This window comes from Homo sapiens, chromosome 11 (genome assembly GCF_000001405.40).
Source record: "Homo sapiens chromosome 11, GRCh38.p14 Primary Assembly".
Classification (NCBI taxonomy): domain Eukaryota; kingdom Metazoa; phylum Chordata; class Mammalia; order Primates; family Hominidae; genus Homo; species Homo sapiens.
In genome coordinates this window covers 133858159-133866277 of record NC_000011.10, presented here as the reverse complement: position 1 = coordinate 133866277, position 8119 = coordinate 133858159, and the positions used below count along the sequence as shown (strand labels likewise).

The following is an 8119-nucleotide window of genomic DNA, read 5'->3' as shown; positions in this document are numbered from 1 at the left end:
GATCTGGTTGTTTAAGAACTGCATGGCACCCTCCCGCACTCTCTTGCTCCTGCTCTCGCCATGTGACATGCTTGCTCCCGCTTGGCCTTTTACCATGAGTAGAAGCTCATGAGGCCTCCCCAGAAGCCGGGCAGTTGCCAGAGCCATGCTTGTACAGCCTACAGAACCATGAACCAATTAAATCTCTTTTGTTTATAAATTACCCAATCTCAAGTATTCCTTTATAGCAATGCAAGAGTGGCCTAATACACCTTGTATACTGAAAACTACAAGATGTTGTGAAAGAAACTAAAGAGGACACATGTAAATGTGTTCATGGATTAGAATACTTAATATCATTAAGATATTAATACTTTCCTCAGTGACCTACAGTTTCAGTGTATTTCTATCAAAATTCCATTTTTTTTTTTTTTGGCTGAAATAGAAAAATCCATCCTGAAATGTATATGGAATCTCAAGAGACCCGAAATAGCCAAAACAATCTTGAAAATGAAGAATTAAAGATGGAGGTCTCACACTTGTGGGTTTCAAACATCTTACAAGCTAGAGTAATCAGAACAGTATGGTACTGGTATAAAGACAGGTACACAGCCCGTCCGGTCCCGTCCCGTCCTGCCGCCGCGCCTGTCAGCCATGAGCTCCATGCAGTTAAACAAAGGCCCCTCTGTGGACTCTTGGCTGAGGTTAAGAACCGGCTCCTGTCCAAATATGACCTCCAGAAGGAGGCAGAGCTCCACAGCTGGATGGAGGGACTCACTGGCCTCTCCATCGTCCCGACTTCCATTAGGGCCTGAAGGATTGGATTATCTTACGCACACTCATGAACAAGCTGCAGCCGGGCTCAGACCCCAAGATCAACCGCTCCGTGCAGAACTGGCACCAGCTAGAAAACCTACGGCATGAACCCCGTGGACCTGTTTGAGGCCAACGACCTGTCTGAGAGTGGGAACACGATGCAGGTGCAGGTGTCTCTTCTCGCCCTGGCAGGGAAGGCCAAGACTAAGGGGCCGCAGAGAGGGGCGGACATCGGTGACACGCACTCGGAGAAGCAGGAGTGGGACTTTGAGGACGCCACCATGAATGCCCGCCAGTGCGTCATCGGGCTGCAGATGGGCACCCACAAATGCACCAGCCAGTCCCGCATGACCGCGTACAGCACGAGGAGGCATCTCTATGACCCCAAGAACCACGTATTGCCCCCCATGGACCGCTCGACCATCAGCCTCCAGATGGGTGCAAACAAGTGTGCCAGCCAGGTGGGCACGACGGCTCCCGGGACCCGGCGGTACATCTATGACACCAAGCTGGGAACCGACAAGTGTAACAACTCTTTCATGTCCCTGCAGATGGGCTACGCGCAGGGCGCCAACCAGAGCGGCCAGGTCTTTGGCCTGGGCCGGCAGATATACGACCCCAAGTACTGCCCGCAAGGCCCAGTGGCCGATGGGGCTCCCTCGGGTGCAGGCGACCGTCCTGGCCCTGGAGAGGCCCCTGAATATTCCGCTTACTACGAGGAGGAGACTGGCTACTGAGGCTCCCAGCACGTTCTCTTCCCCACATCGTCTCCCCGTCTGGGTTTTTGGGGTTTTCTGTGTTTTCATCTTTTTTTTTTTTTCCTGTTCAATGCTGCCGGTCAACGAAGGGTCTGTGAGTGGCGGCGTGGGATCAGGCGGCAGGGCTTTTCTCCCTCTTGCCTTGGTTCCTTCGCAGGTCTGAGCCACCGGGCTGCGGGGGAAGAGGTCAAGGCCCTATCCCAAAGCGTGTAGGGTGAGGGTCCCTGCTGGCACCTTCAGGCTGTGGGCAGAACTGTGCTGGGGAGAAGAGACCTGGGCATGGAGGGAACCGGTCCCGGAAGGTTTCCAGTTGCCTCGCCTCTTTCCCCTTTTGTCAGCCGATCAGTTTGTGGTTTCTGTACCCGCAAACGTTTCAGGAAGTATTTACAAAACAACAACAACAACAATATATATATATATATATGTATTTTTCCAGAGGAATAGGGGGTGGGGGACAGTGGAGAGGTGCTGGAAAATGAGTCCCTTGGGAGAGGGGGCCCGGCCACCATGCTAAATAGCTCAGGCTCCTGAGTGGCTGGATTTCCCTAGGACCCTCAGACCCACAGATCTTAGACCCTCAGACCCGTCTCAGGGCCTGGTGGGGAAACTGAGGCCCGTACAAGGAAGTGGAATTCTGAGTTGTTGGGGCCAAGCCTGACCCCCATCCATGCTAATCTCCCCGCCCCCGCCCCTCCCCCGCCACTGTGGCCTCAGTAGGTTTTTGTTACTGTCGTTGCCCAGGCTGGAGTGCAGTCAGGTGATCTCGGCTCACTGCACCTCTATCTCCTGGGCTCAAGGGATTCTTCTACTTCAGTCTCCTGAGTAGAGTAGCTGGGACTGCAGGTGCTCCACCGCGTCTGGCTAATTTTTGTATTTTTAGTAGAGATGGGGTTTCACCATGTTGGCCAGGCTGGTCTCGAACTCCTGACCTCAGGTGATCTGCCTGCTTCGGCCTCCCAAAGTACTGGGATGACAGGCGTGAGCCACCGCACATGGCTCCTCAGTAGGTTTTAAGGGGCCTCAGCCGTTCTTTTCCCCTTCCAGGCCTGACCAGCTATACTGCTCTGTCTCCGTGCCCCCCACACACTCCACCAAATACTACACGGGAACCCCCACCCAGGGTCCCTGCACCATTAGATAATGAGAAATAAGGACTGTGGACCAAAAGCAATAAAACCTGTTTGTAAGAAAAAAAAAAAAAGACAGACATATAAGCCAATGGAAAAGCATAGACAGCCCAGAAATAATCCCTCAAATATGTGGTCAAATAAATTTTGACAGTGGTTCCAAGAGTATTCAATGGGGGAAAAACAACCTTTTAAAAAAATGGTGTTGGAAAAACTGGATATTTATACGCAAAGAAATAAAGTTGACCCTTAACTTAAACCATATACAAAAATTAACTCAAAATGGCTCAAAGACCTAACTGTAGGCACTAAAACTATAAAACTCTTAGAAGAAAGCACAGGGGAGAGGTGCATGGCATTGAAATTGTCAATGATGTTTTTTGGTGTGTGGGGGGGAGGGTAAAACCCCAAAAGCACAGGCTACAAGAAAAAACAGATAAATTGGATTACATCAAAATTCAAAACTTCTGTGCATCGAAGAACACTGTCAGTAGGTGGAAAAAGGGATCCACGGGATGGGAGAAGAGATTTACAAATCATATATCTGATTAGAGGTTCGTGCCCAGAATATACAGAAAACTCTTACAACCCAGCAACAACAACAAACCCAAATGACTTGGTTAAAAAATGTACAAAGAACTTAATAGATGGTTCTTTCAAGGAGATACACAAATGGATAATAAGCACATGGAAAGAAGCACAACATCACTAGTCATTAGTGAAAAGCATATCAAAACCACAATGAAATACTACCTTATACCCATTAGAATGGCTACTATATACATATTCAGAACAACAGAAAACAATAAATGTTAGTGAGAATGTGGAGAAACTGGAACCCTTGCACACTGTTAGTAGAAATGTACAATGGTGCAGCTGCTGTGGAAAACAGTACGGTGGTTCCTCAAACAGTGAAAAAGGAGTCTGGATGCAGTGGCTCATGCCTGTAATCCAAGCACTTTGGGAGGCCAAGGCAGGAGGGTCACTTGAGGCCAGGAGTTCAAGACCAGCTTGGGAGACATAGCAAGATCCTGTCTCTACAAAATAATAATAATAAAAAAACCCAGCTGGGCATGGTGGTGCATGCCTGTGGTCCCAGCTACTCAGGAGGCTGAGGTGGGAGGATCACTTGATCCCAGGAGGTTGAGGCTGCAGTGAGCTATGATCATGCCACTGCATTCTAGCCTGGGCAACTGAGTGAGACCCTGTCGCTGAACAATTTTTTTTTAAAAATGAAATTATCAAGTGAATCAGAAATTCCACATCTGGTTTTGTACCCGAAAGAACTGGAAGCAGGATCTTGAGGAGCTACACGTACAACTATGTTCACAGCAGCATTATCTGCAAAGCCAGAAGGTGAAAGCGACCCACATGTTCATCAATGGATACATGGATTTTAAACATGTGGTGTACACAGTGGAATATAATTCAGCCCTAAAAGTGAAAGGAAATTCTAAAATATGCTACCACATGGATGAACTTTGAAGACATTATGCTAAGTAAAATAAGTCAGCCACAAAAAAATACTGCATGATTCTACTTACGTAGGCTACCTAGAATAGTTAACCTCATAGTGAAAGAATGTAAAATTGTGGTTGCTAGGGGCCGAGGGTAGGGAGAATGGGGAGTTATTGTTTAATGGTAGAATTTTAGTTTTGTGAAATGAAAAAAGTCCTGGAAACGGATGATGGCAGTTGTTGCACACCAATGTGAATGTCCTTCATAAGGCTGAGCTGTACATTCAGAGATGGTTAATATGGGGAATTGTATGTTACTTTATTTTACCAGAGTTAAAAATAATAAAAAGAAGTCTATATAAATATATATTCACTTCTCTTAACTTCTTTTCTAAGATTACATAAAGCAGTTATTATAACATTGTATTATTGGATTTACAACATAATATAGCTTTAATACATATGATAATTGTACAAAGGAAGCTGAGGGGATGAAGGTGTACTGGAACAGGGTTTCCATAATTTACCAGAATTAAGTTATTTTGATGTAGACTGTAATTACTTTGATGTAGTCTGTAATTAATTAAGATGTATATTGTAATCCCTTAGCCTGACACTACCAAAAGTACAAATATACAGTTTAAAAAATCAAGAGGAATTAAATATTACACTAAAAGTACCTGTTTGATACAAAAGAATATAATAAATAAAGAACGAGGAACAAAAAACTCATGAGACATATAGAAAACACATAGTAAAACAGCAAATGTAAATTTAACCATGTCAATAATAACATATGTGAATGGACTCAATAATCAAAAGGTGGAGATTGTTAGACTGGATGAAAAAAGAAGATCCTACTCTATGCTGTCTATAAGAGGCATATTTTAGCTTCAAAGACATAAGAATTTAAAAATAAAACGGGGAAAATATATGCCATACAAACAATAACCGTAAGAGAGCTGGAGTGGCTATATTAATAGCAGAATATATTTTAAGACAAAAATATTTCTAGAGACAAAGTGATATTTCACAATGACAAAAGGAAAATATAACAATTGTAAATGTCTATGCCTGAAACAAGAGAGCCATCAAATATTTGAAGCAATAACTGACTGAATTGGAAGGAAAAATAAACCATTCAGCAAGTTAGAGATCTAAAAACTTGACTTTCAATAACTGAAAGAAAAAGTAGACAGAAAATCATTAAATGAATAGAAGACTTGAACAACAGTATTGACCAGCTTCATCTGACAGCAAGAGAACACTTGAATCAACCAATGAGAGCAGAATATATATTCTTGTGAGTATACTTGAAATCTTCTCTAAGACAGTTCATGTGCTATACTATCAAATCTCAACAAATTGAAAAGAAATGAAATAAAAAAGTATATTCTCTGAACACAAAAGGATTAAACTAGACATCAACAGTGGGGAGAAATCTGGGAAATCTTCAAATATTTGTAAGTTAAACAACATTCAGGGATCCCTCCTTATCCTTGCTTTCACTTTCTGTGGTTTGACAGACAACTCAACTCAAATAGATCATACGCCTAAATGTACGAACTATTATAAAATGATAAAATTTTTAGAAGAAAACAAAATATTCTTCATGACCTTAGATTGAGCAGAGTTTTTAGATGTGATGCCAAAAACATATTTCATACATGAAAGAATATTTCAGACCTGCAGTCTGAAATAGTAAATGGAAAATTCCAGAAATAGACAATTCATAAGTTTTGAGTAGCGTGATGAAATCCTGCTCTGTCCCTCCTGGGAAATGAATCATTCCTACGTCCAGCGTCTCTATGGTATCTACCTTACCCCCTGTTACCCACCCGCTTGGCTGCCCTCTCGGTTATCAGTTTGACTGTCCCAGTGTCACCGTACTTGGGTTCAAGTAACACTTATTTTAATTTATGGACCAAAGCACAAGAGTAGTAATGCTGGCAATTCAGATACACCTAAGAGAAGCTATAAAGTGCTTCCTTTAAGTGAAAAGGTGAAAGTTCTCAATAAGGAAAGAAAAAAAAACTATATGCTAAGGTTGCTGAGATTTATGGTAATAACAAATCTTCTGTCCATGAAATTGTGATGAAAGAAAAATAAATTCATCCTAGTTTTTCTGACACATCTCAAACTGCAGAAGCTATGGCCACAGTGCCTAAGTGCTTAGTTAAGATGAAAAAGGCATTATGTTTGTAAGTGGAAGACAGGACGTGTACTGATGGACAGGAATTGGGTTTGGTACTATCTGCGGGTTCAGGCAGCCATGGGGGTCTTGGAACATATTCCCTGTGGATAAGCGTGTAATATTGTACTTCTAGATAACCCTTGGTAAAATAAATCAAGGTATTTTGGATTGAGTTTACAAGAATATGCAACTTACAGAATACAACTAAAGCTATGTTTAGAGGGAAATTTATATTTAACACCTACATTAGAAAGAAAGGAAGATCTCAAATCAATAATCTAAACTTCCACCTAATGAACTAGAAAAAGAAGAGCAAGAAGCCCAAGACAAACAAAAGTAAAGAAAGAAAAAACAAACAAGAATTAGGAACAATGAAATAGAAAACAGAAAAATAACAGAGGAAAAACAAATAGGGAATTTCAATGTAAACCAAAGGTGGGTCTTTGAAAAGACTTTTTAAAATTTCACACACCTCTACACAGGATGAGCAAGGAAACCTAGAGAACATAACAAATTACTAAAATTAGGACTGAAAGACAGGACGTGACCACCAACACTATAGATATTAAAAAGTTTCTGTGGAAATGCTGCAAATAACTTTAAATCAACAAATTAGACAGTCTAGGTGAGTTGAGCTATAGCTTCAAAACAATGCCTATCAAAATTCCAGCAGGCGTTTTTTGGTAGAAATTAGCAAAATTATCCTAAAATTTCCATGGAAATGCAAAGAAATTAGAATAGCCAGAAAAGTTTTGGGAAAAAAGATTTATACTACTTGATCTCAAATTTACTACCAAGATATAATTATCAGACGATGTGGTGCTGGTGAAAGGATAAGCCCAATGAAGTAAAACTGAGAATGCACAAAAGAATAAACTCTTAAGGTCAATTTAATTTTTAACAAAGGTGCCAAGGCAATTCAGTGGGGGCAAAAACCAGTCTTTTCTACAAATGGTGCTGGTATAATTATATGTTTATAAGAAAAAGCATATACAGATCTTTACCTACAGCATATCCACAAAAACAACTCAAATAGATCATACGCCTAAATTACATTTAGGCTATTATAAAATGATAAAACTTTTAGAAGAAAACAAAATATTCTTCATGACCTTAGATTGAGCAGACTTCTTAGATATGATGCCAAAAACATATTTCATACTTGAAAAAATATTTGAATTCATTAAAATTAAAACCTTTTTGCCTTCAAAAGAAAACATTAGGAAATTGAAAGACAAGCAAGAGATTGGGAGAAAGTACTTGCAAATCATAATTTGATAAGGGACTTGCATTCAGGATATGTAAAGAACACAATACTCAATAAAAAGAAGACAACTTAATTTTTTAAAAAAATAAATATTTGGATATTATATCAACTTTTATATATATAACATATATATAAGTTTTGTGTGTGTATATATATCATATATATCAAAATCTTTATATATAATGATATATAAAAATCTTTATACATGTTATATGTATAAAAAGATTTAGAGATATATAAAATATATATAAATTATATATATGTTGGTATAATATCTAATATCTATATATCTAATATATATCTAATATATAGTTTATTAGCTATCTAATATAATATATATCATATATATCAAAATCTATATATAAAGATTTAGATATATATAAAACATATATATGTTATATATATGTTGGTGTGATATCTAATATATAGTTTATTAGCTATCTAATGTAATATAAACAGATTATCAATATTATAAGCTATCAGAAAAATGCAAGTTAAGGCAGATGATATACCTCTTTACA

At 39.9% G+C, this 8119-nt stretch overlaps 1 pseudogene; it reads left to right on the top strand.

Moving 5' to 3' along the window:
• Window positions 592-1828, top strand: LOC283172 (calponin 2 pseudogene; annotated as a pseudogene).
• The last annotated feature ends 6291 nt before the right edge of the window (window positions 1829-8119 follow it).